The 17,160-nt window shown below is 43.3% G+C and overlaps 2 annotated features.

Annotated features, from left to right (window-relative positions):
* Window positions 10,691-11,376: an enhancer, noted in NCBI's record as "OCT4-NANOG-H3K27ac hESC enhancer chr1:227543671-227544356 (GRCh37/hg19 assembly coordinates)". NCBI's record gives its function as "activates a minimal SCP1, AML or CMV promoter by ChIP-STARR-seq in naive H9 embryonic stem cells {active_cell/tissue: H9 hESC(naive)}" and the evidence as "EXISTENCE:reporter gene assay evidence [ECO:0000049][PMID:30033119]".
* Window positions 11,377-12,060: an enhancer, noted in NCBI's record as "OCT4-NANOG-H3K27ac hESC enhancer chr1:227544357-227545040 (GRCh37/hg19 assembly coordinates)". NCBI's record gives its function as "activates a minimal SCP1, AML or CMV promoter by ChIP-STARR-seq in primed H9 embryonic stem cells {active_cell/tissue: H9 hESC(primed)}" and the evidence as "EXISTENCE:reporter gene assay evidence [ECO:0000049][PMID:30033119]".

The raw sequence follows: 17,160 nt of genomic DNA on the forward strand, positions 1-17,160 counted from the left end.
ATGTAACAATACCCAGTAAAGCTATATTATTTTCATTATTAAATTTGTTCAACACTATTTGTTTTTGTTTTTTTTTTCACAAAAAGTTGAAAAGAAAACAGGATTTTTTTTCCTATATGATATTTCTACTGGATTAACCACTAGATTTAGGTAATAGTAACAGAGCTGAACCTCTGGACCTGGTAACATTGTCTCTTCAAGTTAGCATTTTCGATATATTATAAAATAAATTCTGGCAATAGTCATCTACATATGTAATTTGAAGAGCTGTTATATTGGGCTTGGTGAGTAAGGACAACATATGCGCTTTATTAGCAATGTTAAATAGGTGCCCAATTAATGTTTGCTGTTATACTACAGAATTTCATAAACAATGGCAACAAATTTTTCCCAAAATCAATATGGAAGTGAGTTATGAAATTTGCTTTACTGAACAAGTCTTCATTTGTGGCAGGAACGCATTTTGGTTTTTGTGTTTCCCTGCTGTTTGAAAGAACAGATTGAGTGTTCCTTTGTTTTCTTGCTCCTACATAGAAGACATTTAAAATAATCATAAATTATTAGTACTAGAAGGAAACCTAAAAATCTAACTTCCCACACAATGCAAACCCTCAGTGATTCTGATGCATGCTAAAGTTTGAGAAACATTGCCCTATGTAACACTCCACGTAGCCGGGTGCAGTGGCTCATGCCTGTACTCCTAGCACTTTGGGAGGCTTGAGGCAGGCGGATCACCTGAGGTTGGAAGTTTGAGACCAGCCTGGCCAACATGTTGAAACCCCATCTCCACTAAAAATACTAAATTAGCCAGGCGTGGTGGCAGGCACCTGTAACACCAGCTACTTGGGAAGCTGAAGCAGGAGAATCAGTTGAACCAGGAGGCAGAGGTGGCAGTGAGCTGAGATCGCACCACTGCACTCCGGCCTGGGCGACAGAACAAGACTCTCTCAGAAAAAAAGAGAAAGACGCCACACGACAGAATTGGGTTGCAGATATCAGAAATCTAACTATAAAATTAGATTGAGTGTAAAAGGGAATATCCTAGTTCGTGAGGCTCAGGATAATGGAGTAGCTCATAGGATCAAGGGATTGATCAGGACCTACAGGACCTGGGCTTCTGGGACTGGAAAGAGAAATGTTTCACTTCATGTTTGCTCATGAATGCTCACAATGGCTCCGTCTCCCACCCACCCTCAGCCCATGTATTGCCATTTCTCTGTCTCTGCTCGTTTTTATCCTCTTTCACTGCAGATAGACTTCTGCACATGGTGAAGTTGGCCACCTCCTCTACCCTGCAACCTGCACGCATACATACCTTCATATCCCTCTAGGACTTGACCTCTGAGGCAAGGCTATTCCTCTCCAGGCTCCAAATCAAGAAATCCCAGGGAAGAACTCCAAGGGCCAGAAATGTTAATGGAAGAAAAGTGTTGGGAAGTCTTGCAGAGGAGATAAATAACAGTAGCTACTGCAGCCTATTACATAAACTATAGTCAATTTTACTTTGAGAAAAGGAAGTTTAGAAAGATCATTTGCCTTGCCCAAATCACTAAGTCAGTGAAAATCAAAACCAAAAAAACTCAAAAATAGTAATATTTAAGACCATACCATAGTCACTCATTTACTAAGGAATTTCCTAGAAAAATTTAGTTTAGGTTTTAGCTCTATACATTTGCACTGAACTTTCTCCCTCATGGGAAAAAAAAGTTAGTTTTATAAAAATAACTTCATGAGTCTGTAGTAAAACAATGGTGAAAGAAATATAATTTTTCCTATTGCAGACAGACGGTTGAGACTTTTTTGCATTTATGTCATTCAAACATGATTGTTACAAACTTTAAACTTGGTAGCAATGTACTCCCAAAGGAGGAAGGGAAAAAAATCAAGCCAATCTAAAGCCATGAAGATTTAAATAATGTATTTAAGAAAAAAACACAAAATAGAACATTTATGGTTTTTTGCAAGAACTTGGACTTACAGCTTCCTGATGCGAAAAAAAAAATCATTTAAGAATTCTACTTTAGCAAACAATTACTTTTTTTGAAAATGTGCCTTCTACTTAACCCCAGAAAAATATATAATAATGAAGCCTACAAGCTAAGAACATACATAATCAAAGCATCAGTTTCCAAAGCTTTTCGTATTTTTTTGAGTTGGAGTCTTGTTCTGTAGCCCAGGCTGGAGTGCAGTGGTACGATCTCAGCTCCCGGCAACCACTGCCTCCTGGGTTCAAGAGATTCTCCTGCCTCAGCCTCCTGAGTAGCTGGGATTACAGGCACACACCACCCATGCCCACCTAATTTTGGTATTTTTAGTAGAGACGGGGTTTCACCATGTTGGCCAGGCTGGTCTCAGCTCCTGAGCTCAAATGATCCACCCATCTTGGCCTCCCAAAGTGCTGGCATTACAGGCGAGAGCCACCGTGCTCAGCCTCCAGAGGTTTTCATAGCGCTATTTATTTGATCTCTCCAGCCATAAACTGGTCTTCCCATTTTCCCTTTAAGAAAAATCATAGTCCATTATGGCTTTTATTTTTAGGGCATATTATAAACCCTATTAAATGTGCTATATAGCTGAATCAATATAAGAACCTTAACTCTGGAATTTCCTGATCCTTGAATGTCTAAATTCGTAACATTGTTGTGTTACACCATTTGTGGACAGTTTTATGAAAATAAGCACCATTCTAGGTTTTGCCTTTTCAACTTTACATTTGCTTCTGCCAGTTGGGCTACTGTAGCTCCCCAAGACAGCCTGAGACTGACTAGGGCTTATGACAAGCAAAGGAGAGTTGAGCTATTGTGGCACTATGTAGATTCTGAGACTGAAGCTCTTATCAACATTTGAAGAAGATTCTGTACAAAGTAATTCTTTTTCTTTCTTCTTTCTTTCATCAACATTTGAAGAAGATTCTGTACAAAGTAATCTTTCTTTTCCTTCCTCTCCTCCCCTCTCCTCTTCTCTTTCTTCTAGATGGAGTCTCGCTCTGTCCCCCTGGCTGGAGTGCAGTGGCGTGATCTCGGCTCACTTCAACCTCTGCCTCCCAGGTTCAAGAGATTCTCCTGCCTCAGCCTCCTGAGTATCTGGGATTAGAGGCACCCACCACCACACCTGGATAATTTTTGTGTATATATATATACATACACAATATATATATTTTAGTAGAGATGGGGTTTCACCATGTTGGTCACGGCTGGTCTCGAACTCCTAACCTCAAGTGATCCGCCCACCTTGGCCTCCCAAACTGGTGGGATTACAGGCATGAGCCACCATGCTCAACCTATGCAAAATAATTGTTTTTCAATTCTTTTTTTTCTTTATTTTTTCTTACTTGCCTCTATATTTAAGACTCAGTTTTTCAATTTTTTTTTTTTTTTGAGACAGGGTCTCACCGTGTTGCCCAGGCTGGAGTGCAGTGGCATGATCTCGGCTCACTGCAACTTCTGCCTCCCAGGCTCAAGCAATCCTCCCATCTCAGCCTCCCAAGTAGCTGGGACTATAGGCACATACTACCATGCCCAGCTAACTTTGTGTGTGTGTGTGTGTGTGTGTGTGTGTGTGTGTGTGTGTATTTTTGGTAGAGACAGGGTTTGCCATGTTGTCCAGTGTGGTCTCCAACTCCTGAGCTCAAGTGATCCGCCTGCCTTGCAGTTTTTCAATTATTATTATTATTTTGTTTTTTTTGAGACGGAGTCTCACTCTGTCGCCCAGGCTGGAGTGCAACGGCGCGATCTCTGCTCAGTGCAAGCTCCGCCTCCCGGGTTCACGCCATTCTCCTGCCTCAGCCTCTCGAGTAGCTGGGACTACAGGTGCCCGCCACCATGCCCGGATAATTTTTTGTATTTTTAGTAGAGATGGGGTTTCATCTTGTTAGCCAGGATGGTCTCGATCTCCTGACCCCGTGATCTGCCTGCCTCAGCCTCCTAAAGTGCTGGGATTACAGGTGTGAGCCACCGCGCCCGGCCTGCAGTTTGTCAATTCTTAAAATCATTATTGGCTGGGCACGGTGGTTCACGCCTGTAATCCCTGCACTTTGGGAAGCCGAGGTGGGCAGATCATGAAGTCAAGAGATTGAGACCATCCTGGCCAACATGGTGAAACCTCATCTCTACTAAAAATAGAAAAATTAGCTGGGCGTGGTGGTGCAGGCCTGTAGTCCCAACTACTCCGGAGGCTGAGGCAGGAGAATCACTTGAACCCAGGAGGCAGAGGTTGCAATGAGCTGAGATTGTTCCACTGCACTCCAGCCTGGCATCAGAGCGAGACTCCATCTCAGAAAAAAAAAAAATCATTATTGCCTCTTTCCTCAAATTTCTGTCAAACAATCAAGCAGGACAAAAGGATGTTGCAAAAATAAGAAAACATTAGTAGCTCATATGTAAAGGTCAGATCTTGATAAAACATGAGCTCTCTGTTTTTCCATGTCCTTTTGCAATAAATGTTAAATCTGAAACTGCGTAGAATAGAGAGATTAAACCTGGTTTCCCTTCACTCATAATTCCATTTAAGCAGATAAGTGGTAAAAATAAAATCAGAGAAATCCAGTTCCATTCTCCATTTTGGACACTAAATAAGTCCACCCACACCATTTTGCCATAAGTAGATTACTTACAAAATGCTAAATTCCAAATCTCAATATGGAGATTCCCCCAAACCATCTGAATCTACTTTCACCTGTCACTTTCTACTGGGACTCAAAACTGGTGACATCCTAGAATGAGTTCTTGTTTTAACAGAAACATACGTAATGCCTCTGGCTAGGGTCAGAATCTTGCTTTAGAATGGGTTTCCTTATGTCTCATTGTATGCTGGTTCTGTGTAGTAACTTACTTCTCTATTCTGAATTCCTGACTAGTGGGGATTAACATATATCATGATAATTTTGATGATAAGTATGATGAGAATAATGAAGACAGTTGGGGTGTGATGGCTCATGCCTTTAATCCCAGCACTTTGGGAAGCCAAGACAGGAAGACTGCTTGAGCCCAGGAGTTGGAGGCTACAGTGAGCCATGACTGCGCCACTGCACTCCAGCTTGGGTGGCCGAGGTGAGATCCTGTCTTAAAAAAAAGAAAAGAAAGAATAATGAAGATGACTTCACAATCATTTAAGGAGCACTTACTATGAACCAGCCCCTGTACTAGGGACGGTCTGTTCTGCTGCACCATCTATATCTATCTTGGAAATTAGTCCACACATAAATGATAAATCCAGAGATATCACCAAAATCAAGATTGCTTTCATACGTGATTTTCCCCAGCATGTTAATATTTTGCAGCTCTAAGTTGTGTGCAGTGGCCCATGCCTGTAATCCCAGCACTTTGGGAGGCCAAGGCTGGGGGATTACTTAAGCCCAGGAGTTTGAGACCAGCCTGAGCAATATGGTGAACGCGCATCTCTGCAAAAATACACAAAAATTAGCTGGGTGTGGTGGCACACATCTGTAATCCCAGCTACTTTGGAGGCTGAGGCAGGAGGATTGCTTGAGCCCAGGAGGCCAAGGCTGCAGTGAACCTTGATGGCGCCACTCCACTCCACTCTGGGTGACAGAGTGAGACTGTATCTGAAAAAAAAAAAAAAAATTGCAGCCCTATGCACACGTTACTATTTTGCAGCTAATGTACCCTAATAAGCTTTTAAAAAAAGAAACCATGAAGTAATCCAGTACTTAACATGGTGCCCATTCACCCCACTTTCTTGGCTCTATCTTGGAGGTACTCACTGGGTCTCACTGCATTTTGCCCTCATCTCTGTAACTTGGCAGCATCAACCCTCATTCACAGCCTCTTCCATCAAGTAACCATTGCCTTTTCTTAAAGGCAAAGGCAATCTTATAAATTTACTTGATAGTATTTCTTCTTTTTAGAAGCTTAACTATGGTGCATTTTATTAGGATGGATATTGTTACTGTCACTGCTTTGGTTACAAAGCTGCATAGGCCTTGAATGAACTGCTTCAAACCTGTTTTTTCCATAAATCCTCTTACTTTTAGTGCACAAGTCTGAAGAATGAGTGGCTTGTTGTTCCTGCACATACTGCAGAAACATCATCCAATATCCATACAGTCTCATTCAGTTCTTGCCACTATTTCATGGCATAGATATTATTCCCATTAGCTGATGGAAGGAAACCAAGGCTCAGAGAACTTAAGTAACTTGCCCAAAATGAGGAGGCAAGATGCCTTTGAGTCATTATATACACCTCACTTATTACCTTGCCTCATCGACCTCTATTCAATTAGTCCTTGCAGCCTTAAAGAGGACCAAAGTGAAAACACAGGCAGTTGAGTCATGGGGAGGTCAGGGCAGTGATCTGCACTGCTGTTCTCCAAGATTGACAGCACTTCCTTTCCATTTATCCTGGAAGATATCCCAGAATTTTTTTTTATTGTTCCAGAAAAAGGCCCATAAAAATAAATTAAATATGTGGGTCAGCTGCAGCAAGCTACTGATAATGTCACATGAGGGAGGCTGTGGAGTTCTGTACAGGGAAAAAAAGGACAGACCAGGCCTGATCTGGTCCTGGCTTTATGGTAGAGTGATATATAGCACATTCCAGAAGAAAAAAGTTGGATGTTGAAAATTCAAATAAAAGGCAATCCCAGAAAAGATTTTCTATCATCTATTCAGTTCTTTTTAGAAACTGAATGTGATTTCTCACAGATGAAAATAGTGCATTTTAAAAAAGAAATTGTGTTACACAACAGGATCCTATTTTTATCAAAATAGAATACACACACAAAACCTTTAGATGATAAACATCAAGATATTAATGGTAATTATTCATCTCTAAGTGGTAGAATTATAGTGTTTTTTTCTTTTTGCTAATTTTATGAACTCTCTAAAATAGATCAGCATAATTTTTCTAACAAGAAGTTATAAAAGTTACTTTTGAAAACAAATTTTTAGGATAATTTGTGATTTTCTTTTCTGGAAACAATTGATTTTATAACTGGGACAAATATTCATAATTGTTTCCAGGTAGAACAGCCTTTTAAAGATTGATGTCACTCAGCATTGCTGTCCTCCTTATAAAATGTCACAGACTCATATTGATTTTTTTTTTCTATTCTCTCATTTCAGCTTTTCACAACTCTGCTTCTCTCACTTTCCCATGCCTTTTTTTTTTTTTTTTTTTTTTTTTGAGACTGAGTTTTGCTCTTGTTGCCCAGGCTGGAGTGCAGTGGCATGATCTCGGCTCACTGCAACCTCCGCCTCCTGGGTTCAAGTGATTTTCCTGCCTTAGCCTCCCAAGTAGCTGAGATTTCAGGCACCTGCCATCATGCCAGGCTAATTTTTGTATTTTTGTAGAGACGAGGGTTTCACCATGTTGGCCAGGGTGGTTTCAAACTCCTGACCTCAGGTGATCTGCCCACCTTGGCCTCCAAAAGCTCTGGGATTACAGGCGTGAGCCACTGCGCTCGGCCTCCGTGCCTTTTATCTCATCCACAATCACTGGTTCTCGGTCCATTCTGCATTGCCCTACTTTGGGCTGCTTTTCACTTCTCACCCTCCCTCATGCATAACTGCTTGCCTGGAACCCGCCACCTCTGTGCTGACTCTTGCATTCTCTTCCACCATATGATGCCAGCGTCCACACCTAATTGCACACTCCTGTAGTTTTTCACATCTTTTTTATTACCTTGTTCCTCCCAACATAACAGGGACTATTGTCTGCTTCTAAGGAAATCATGTCGTTTGGGCTTCCTGGCAGCAACAATAAGAAGACAAGATTCCCCCTAGAAAATTATGCACAAAACAACAACAAATCCGTGTTTGTAAGGTTCTTTCTGATGCCTTTCTCTCATTAGTTCCTAAGTTGCAGCAGCAATATGATCATACCTAAAAATCAGGAGACGGTAGACACAAAAGGTTATTGTAAACTATGTGCCCCCAATCCCGAAACTTTTCCTTTCTTTTTATTGTCTATTATGGGTGAATTACAATAATATACAGACCTACTATCACTAGTAGCTTTGTAAGTTCCATGGAAGATTGCTATAAATCCCCAGAGCTTGTCTGCAATTACATCTTAATGTAGATTGGCTTTGTGACCCTGCCCAAACCACGTGTTGAATTGTAATCCCCAGTGTTGGAAGAGGGGCATGGTGGGAGGTGACTGGATCATGGGGGCGGATTTTCCCCTTGCTGTTCATATGATAGTGAGTGAGTTCTTATGGTATCTGGTTGTTTAAAAGTGTGTGGCACCTCCCGCTGCTCTCTCTTCCTACTTCTCCAGCCATGTAAGACGTGCCTCCTCCCCTTTGCCTTCCACCATGATTGTAAGTTTCCTGAGGCCTCCCCAGCCATGCCTCCTGTACAGCCTGAGGAACTGTGAGCCAATTAAACCTTTTCTTTAAAAATTACCCAGTCTCAGATAGTTCTTTATAGCTCTGTGAGAATGGACTAATATAAATCTACTTCCATCCATGAATGCTTGTGGTGTATATCTTCCACCCTTTGACACAATTGTATTTACTAGGGCATCCAAAGTTCTCACCAATTCCTGCTGAGTCAAAATGGGCCTGATGTCATTAATTCAATAAATCGGCATCATGTTCTGCTTCCACAGATGATTGAGATGGTCAAGTTCCCTGTGGGCTACGTAGTAACAGAAACAAGAGTTGACACAGCAAAACGGTGCCAAGGTAGTGACTATGTCCGGCTGCCTTGTAAAAAGAAGTTGGTTTTAAAATTTTCTTTACTGATGGTGATGAGAAAGAACACATTCACTCCATCAACAGTTGCATTCCAAGTGCCAGGGTCTGTTAATCTATTCTAGTAAAGATGCAGCATCTGGAAAAAACAGCTGCAACTGGGTGCCCCCATCTCCACCTACCTTAATCCACCTGGTGCTCACTAGAGGCATGCAGGTGAATTGAATAGAGATTTGGTGGAGGCCACTACCCTCGCATCCCTTTGCCTACCTCTGCAGTTCCTTCTGGGATACAGTATTGCCTTGGTTTACTATGTTGCCTGGAGGAGAGCAGTTTCAGGCACCTTCACTTGGCTCTTCCCTCTATAATAGCTCTTACTCCATAGGTCAGGTATTTAATGTAAGATTCTACCTGCTGTTAATTTGCATCCTAATTACACAGTTGGGAACCAGGGTAATAACCACAGGAGGGGGCTGGAGACTTACTGGACCACTGTCAGACTTGAGCCAGGATTTCATTTATTGCCTTGTTTCCATAAGCTTCCACTATAACTGGGGGATCATAATGGTGTTTTGAGTGCCCTCTATCCAATGGCTCTCAAAAGGCTGAGCATTCCCTTTTCTCCTCTGTATCCTTTTTTTGGTACATGACCACAGGTCCATTTAGGGAAGGAATAAGAGAAATAATGTCTATTCCTGTAGTGTCATTATAGAGTCCTTTCTCAAAGGGACCCAGACTCTCCTTCAATTGATGGCCTCTGGGAGTGAGAACTGATTCAGACCTGAGGGGTCATGATTTTCCACTTCTGCAATTGATGTAGGTTCACCAAGCTCTCAAGTTTTTCTTGTTATATAAGTGAAGTAACTTCTTAGTCATTTGCCTACCTACCTTGTCCCTCCAGGATCACTATGGTCTATTTGTTAGCCATTGCCACAAAACCTTTTGAGAGGAGACACCTGGCTGAGATTTCAACCTTGCTGCCTGTTTCTGTTACATCCACCTTGCCTTTTGTTAAGTGCTACCACCTGGACCGTGCTATTCTGGAATTGTCACCATCACTGATACTACTAGAGTCTTACAGTTACCTCTGCCCTATGGAGGATAGCCAAAACTGGGCTTCTCAAAGATGTGTGCACCCCTCTCAGCAGCTCATCCTTATTGCTTCCATGGAAGGGATATTCCTTAGACCACATGCTTAGGGAACAGGTTCTCTGTATCACATAATAAATCCATTCCTATATTTCCATCTCCCCAAGCTTTCTAACCTCTTCCTCAGAACTCCGCAAGACAGCTGGAGTACCTCTGGCCTTACTGCAGGTCACCATCATGTTCAATTTTTAGGGAGCAATCCCAGCACATCCTGGGACTGGCTCAGATGTCCTTGCTAGTATGTGAAACTCCTCATCGTAGGAGGATGCTCTTATATCAATGAACTCTCACCTACCCAGCCTTAGATGCTACCCTCTCTAGCCCACCTCCCTCAAGATCCACCTGTCTGTACACCTTCTCATTTCCTGCCGGTTCATATTAGCCAGCTCTTGAGGCAATGAAGGGAGCCAGGCATGGGTCCTAAAAAGGACACTCACCATTTTGTGAGGCAACAGCCTCAGGCGAGGTTTTTGAAGGGTCTTTTGGAGAGGAGAGGCTCCTCTCCGCCAGTGTGAGATAGTGAGCTACTTCTGCTAACCTCGACAGTTCAGGAGGGCCCGGGGCCTCAAGATTCTCTGGTTCATCCACTCCAATGCCCCCTTTCTATGTCCCAGAGTGTAACCCTGGGAGACCCATCAAAGTTGTGCAATCATTATCCGTTGTAGCACTGCTGTCCTGGGCCCCAGTTACAGAAGACAAGAGCCCTTTAAAATGCCTCCATGAAGGCATGTCTTAAGACAGCATGCCTTGAGTTGATAGTTGACTAACCTGAGCCTATCATTTTCTTTTTCAAGGTTTCTAATTCTGTTAACAAGACCCAGCCAACTCCACATTCATATAATACACATTGTTACCAGGCTGTTCAAGGACCATTACTATGACATAATACAACGCTTCAGCATTCACCGGCGTCTCACCTTCGTCCATCACTGGGTGAATTCTTAGGGATTAGGATGCTGCTGTAAACCGGTAGTAATTAACCACTTAACACCAGTCACGGGTTCTTATCTGTGATAAGGACTGTTAAAGGACCCTGAAAGTTTCCTTTTTAGGGTCACTTCGGTACAACTGTCTTAGCCTGAGTTTCCTTAACAAGTAGATTCCATGGCTGGGTGCGGTGGCTCACACCTGTAATCCTAGCACTTTGGGAGGCCGAGGCGGGTGGATCACCTGAGGTCAGGTGTTCGAGACCAGCCTGGCCAACAGGGCGAAACCCTGTCTTTACTAAAAATACACAAAAATTAGCCAGGCATGGTGGTGTGTGCCTGTAATCCCAGCTACTCGGGAGGCTGAGGCAAAAGAATCACTTGAACCCAGGAGGTGGAGGTTGCAGTGAGCTGAGATTGTGCCACTGCACTCCAGCCTGGGCGACAGAGCAGGACTCCATCTCAAAAAAAAAAAAAAAAGATTCCATGATAAGGGTTTGTATGCAAGTAATTTATTTTGGGAAGTGATCCAGAAGAATAGGAATGAGGGAGTAGAAGAGTAAAACAGGAGAGAAAGCAATCCAAGGGCCTGCTATTAAGCTGGCCATTATCATGTGCAACTGGGGCTCCATCCCTCTGGGAACGCTCTATGGTCATGTAAATTGTGACCATCTCCCACTGGTCAAGCGTTGCCCCAGGAAATGAAACTCCCTGCCAGGTTTGCACAGCCACTGTGTGACAGTGGCTGAACAGTTCCTATAGCCAGCCAATAGGGCAGGAAGTGAGATCAGTGGAGAAAAATGTGATACAGCTGAGGTAAGCTGCTGCCGGCCTCACCTGCACTTCATTGCTGGTGAAGTTCTTAGTGATTAGGATACTGCTGTAAGCTAGCCCCACCTGTCCCCACTGACACCAGCCACATCAATGGCTAGAGTAAAAAGGTGAGCTGAGCGGATGGAAGATGCCGTACAAGATGTGTCTGATAAGTTGCCTCTCACAGAACATTGCCTGATATTATTCTCTTTGCCCAAACCTTCTATTTCATTTATCCGTCATTCTGATTCGCCTCTGGACACAGTCTCAACAGGGAATCTTCCTCTATCTGTAAAGATTAACCCAACAACACTCTTATTATCTAATAGCACTATTCATCCAGTTCCTCTGCAATTTCCTTTGTGAATTATCAGATGACTCTTTCCTTATGTTGTGTCTTACATTATTTAACTTATAAATTACAGTAAATTGATAACGTTTTCTTAGGTCAGGTCCCCTGAGACAGACTCTGAGACAGATTTGCCTGCTGGAGGTTTACTGGGGTGTGTCTTATGAGTCAGCACTAATGGGCATGGAAGGAGATAGGATTGAAAAGAGGGAAGAGCTGAACTGGGGAGCAGCTGGAACAAAGCCAGGCTGCAGTCAGAGGGGAGCTCTGGATAGCCCATCTTGTCCCACCTTGGTGCAAAGGGGGATGGGCCTTTATACTGCCTCCCTCAGTCAGTGGCTGGAGACTGACCCCAGGCAGGGAATGTCCTTGGGCGAGGGACTGAGAACATTTCCTGGAGAGTGACTCAGCTGAAAGCCCTTCGGCCAACACTTCCGACAGCTGGGGAAATGGTATCTCAGTCCTGCAGGGAAGTTCTGGGCAGTGCATAGTATTAACTACAGTCCACCCTTTTCCGCTGCTTGGATTTTTTTTTTTTTTTGTAAATTAGTCTTTGCAAATAGTTCCTCCAAGATTCTGACTGGTTCTTTTTCTGGGAAATTTAAGGAGAGGATTGGCAGGAAAAACCACAGCTCTGTCACTACAGCAATGGATCCTGAGAGGCCAGCTGATTATCTCACTCTTCTACCCGTTCTAGAGTCCCTTCACCCTTGGCTATCATCTCTGTTGGTTTCGGTGGCTTAGCTGCTGGGGTGACCTAGACCCTCATCTTTGATGGGTCTGAGACCCTGGTTGTCACGTCCTTCTCAGGCTGCAACCATGGCACTTGGCAATTTGCCATCAAAATTGGTAAAGGGAGTACAAGGAGATTCTCCTGGAGATGTCCCGGGTGCCAAATATTATATACCTTTCCTGGCACTATTGTATATCAGCAGTTTTACTTCCTCTTAGTGATCAGAGTCAATGACCCCTGCTGAATCCCCAATATGACACATTCCCAGAATGGTGACTCCTTTTTTCTTGTCTCTTATAACAAGAAACCTAAAGTAATTAGGCAGTAGCTATAAAATTTAATGGGACTGGCCGGGCGCAGTGGGTCACGCTTGTTATCTCAGCACTTTGGGAGGCCGAGGCAGGCAGATCACTTGAGGTTAGGAGCTCGAGACCAGCCTGGCCAACTTGGTGAAACCCCATCTCAACTAAAAACACAAAAAATTAGCTGGGCATGGTGGTGCGCACCTGTAATCCCAGCTACCTGGGAGGCTGAGGCAGGAGAATCGCTTGAACTTGGGAGGTAGAGGTTGCAGTGAGCCCAGATTGTACCACTGCACTCCATCCTGGGCAAAAGAGGGAAACTTTGTCTCAAAAAAAAATTAAGTTAATGGGACTACTGCTGTGTCCCCTAGTGTGTTTTCCTTTAGAATATAAAACCTGTAAACCCACAGAGTACAAAGCTGCAAGGACAGAAATCACACATTCCTAATAGTCACTGACAGTGATGATAAGCACAGCCACTTCTATTTTCACCCTGTTTCCTAGACCCAAGTATTCTTCCCAATGGGGATGCAACACCATAGAGTGGTAGCTGATTTAGGACATGTCCTGCAATCTGGAAAATGATGCCCCAACTTCTTAGGTTGGCATCTCCAAGCGTAAGCTTCTGTGGCTCCCTTACAAAGACCATTTTATCCCCTCAGCAGGCTGGCAGGGTCTGGGTGGTAGAACCAGTTGATCTCCCCACCACGTGTCTACTTTTACTCTCCTTTGCTGTAAAGTGGGCTCCTTGAATTAATAGAATGTCACACGGCATTCCATATTTCTGGATAAAAACTGTAATTATTCAGAAGGTGGTGCTGGCTGACACACTGTGGGTAGGAAAAGCAAACCTACATCCATATGTATCCATTTTTATCGAGATTAACTACTGCCCCTTCCAGTGTAGAAAGGATCCAATGTAATTAATACCAAATGGTTAATTGGTCGGCTGGTACACAGGGTTAGTTTGTGTTGCTGGCAGGTTGGACATTGGGCAGTTGCAGTAGCAGGATCAGCCTTGCTGAGTGGGAGTCCCTGCTGTGAGCCCATGTACAGCCTCCATCCTTGCCATCAGGGCTGCTTGGTTCATGTGCCCATTGTGCCAGCACTAGAGCGTGACAGGGTCTGGCTGGTCATCCTTTAGTAGATGACCAGTTAAGTCATCCTGTCTACTTAGTTCTTCAGTGCTTCTTCCATGGGGGATGCTCACTTATGGGCATTAACAATGGGATTCAAAATCTTCACACTTTGGGCCATGGCCATAGGTCCATCGACACACCTCTTCTTTAAATGTCTTTCCACCAATCTTCCAGTCTTTCTGCCCTGCTCTTAACAAGCCAGCCAAGCTAACCACCAAAAATATTTGACCAGGCCAGGCACAGTGGCTCACGTCTATATTCTCAGCACTTTTTGGGGGCCAACACAGGAGGATTGCTTGAGGCCAGGAGTTCAAGACCAGCCTGGTCAAAATAGTGAAACCCCATCTCTACAGAAAAAAAAAAAAAAAAAAGTATTTGACTAGGTGCACTGCCCAGAAATCTGCCAGTTGGTAGGATTTCCTTTGCCATCGTCTTCCAGGCTCTCACACTGCAGGGCTACAATGAAGCTGTAGTGCAGCCAAAGACCATTTTCATGTTGCATCCACACACCAAGCTGTGGTCCTGGCATGGCCTTTTCCCTCTTCTGTCAGCTTGCCATAGGGACCCTCTACGGTCCATAGGCATGAGCTGACAGAGAGGAACCAGTGCAATAGAGGTGGATAACCTGAGTTCAATCTCTTCTGGGACTCCCCTTCTTTTATATTTAAGACTTGGGCCTGATCCTCAGTTTTTTTTTTTTTTCTGTGTTCCAACTGCAGAATAAGAGTCTCTTTATTATGAAGCCAAGGAGAGCTTCGGCCTTTCTGATTGTTGATTAATCACTCTCAGCCTTTCATTGTTCTTCTTCAATACATAAAATGTCAACAGTAACAGCCAGCCATTTCCATAGTTCTTATAGTTATGACTTCCCTTGAACTTCTCAAATGCCTGAGGCCCCTGCACTGCCTTCCACCAACATCTCATCCCAGTTTACGACCATGAAAGTTTTAGTCTCCCTCTGTCACCCAGACTGGAGTGCAGTGGCGCGATCTCGGCCCACTGCAACCTCTGCCTCCTGGGTTCAAGTGATTCTCCTGCCTCAGCCTCCCAAGTAGCTGGGATTACAGGTGCAGCCACTGCACCCGGCCTACTACCAAGAAAGTTTTAACAAGCACGTGGCTACAGCATGCTAAGCACTGTCCATGCTCCACCTACCCCCAGGGATGATGTTCTCACTGCTGGTGACCCATTTTACACTTGGCTTCCTCAGACCATTCCTGGAATGAATTATCGCAGGTCAGATTCCCTAAGAAGCCGACTTTGAGATGCGGGTTAGTATACAGTAAATTCATGGCGGGGAATGGGAGGTGTCATCAGACTGACATCAATAGGAGATGAAAAAAGAAGGATTTAACAGAAGGAAAAGATGAACTGCATTGAAATCACAGAGGCCTTAGATGGTGTCACAGAGAGCTCTGGGTGCTAAGATGTGGGCCACCCCAGGGAGACAGCGTGACTTGGGCAAAGTGGCTATCTTTGGTTAACGGCAAGTCACAGAAAATAATTCAAACAAGAGCAGTCAGCCACCACAATTTCCAACGGCTGGGTGAATGAGGGCCTCAGTCTTAAAAGGGCCTTTGGGTCCCACACCATAGCATCCATCAGATGAGGCAAATTCTTCTTTCTCAGATGAAAAGAACTAATAAGCATATAAGTTTCTCTGTTATAAGGAAGGAGACTTAGCCCAGAAAAATTAGGCCTAAAAATATCAGCAGTATTAATAACATGGTAATTGTGAATGACTTCATATAATCCCAGGTCAAAAGGAAAAACATATCTTCTCTCACCCTGAGAATGTTCTTTTTATATTTTGAATGTCCTTTTCTGTATGAATGGTATGGCAGAGAAGCAAAATCCTGTTTAAACGTCCTATAAACTTTTAATATCACCCATCTACAAAGACAAGACTTAAAATCTCTCCAATTTTTGACACAGACCTTTTTAATTTTTAATTTATTTATTTTTGAGACATAATCTTGCTCTATCACCCAGACTGGAGTGCAGTGGCAGGATCATGGCTCCTTGTAGCCTCAACTTCCCAGGCTCAAGTGACCCTCCTTGCCTCAGCCTTCCAAGAAGCTGAGACTACAGGCATGTGCCACCATCCTCGGCTATTTTTTTTTTTAATCTTTTGTGGAGACGAGTTCTCACTGTGTTGCCAGGACTGTTCTCAAGCTCCTGGGCTCAAGCGATCCTCCCTCTGCCTCCCAGTGGAGGTGGTGCAGAAACAAGAAGACCAGTCCTGAAGTCAATAAAGTAATCTGGGAAAGAGATGATAATTAGTTTGGACCACAGTTGTAGCAAGAGAGATGGCTAGTGGTCAGATCATGAACATATTGTGAAGGTACAGCTGATAGGATTTGCTGATGAATAGGATTACAGGCGTGAGCCACTACTCCCAGCCTACAGACCCTCTTTAAATGTACCCTCCAGCAAAGTAATTCTGGAAGAGTTGAGGGTAGGCTACCCTTTCTAAATCACTCTTTTCTTAATGAACAATATTGCTGTCACACTTGTGTACCTTGTCAATTTTAGCCTTTCTGCCAAAATGTCCTTTCCAAACCTTTGTCCAGAGTTCCATTCGTTCTTCAGGAACCTCACTAAATATTCATTCATTCATAAGGTTACCAGATTTAGTAAATAAAAATATAGGATACCCAGTTAAATGTGAATTTCAAATAAACAAAAATTTTAGCATAACATGTCCAAATATTCCATAGGACATACTTATACAAAATAATTAATTGCTATTTATTTGAAATTCAAATTTAACTGAGTGTCCTGTATTCTATCTAGCAACTTATTCATTCTTCAAATTCAAATACTTGTTGAGTATCTACCACGTGCCAGAAACTACTGAATGTTGAGATTACAGCACTGAACAAAATAACTCCAAATTCCTCCTCTTGTTGAGTCTGCATTCTAGTGGAGGGAGTCATTTATACACAAGTATTTATACAAGAAAATATACAATAATATTGTTGGAGCATAAATCTGTGCCATGAAGAAAAATAAAGTGAGGACAAGAGGATAGGGAGTGTCAGGGCTGGGGGCTGGCAGTGCTGTTTCATGAAGGTCTTACTGATTGGTTGA

This window comes from Homo sapiens, chromosome 1 (genome assembly GCF_000001405.40).
Source record: "Homo sapiens chromosome 1, GRCh38.p14 Primary Assembly".
Lineage (NCBI taxonomy): Eukaryota > Metazoa > Chordata > Mammalia > Primates > Hominidae > Homo > Homo sapiens.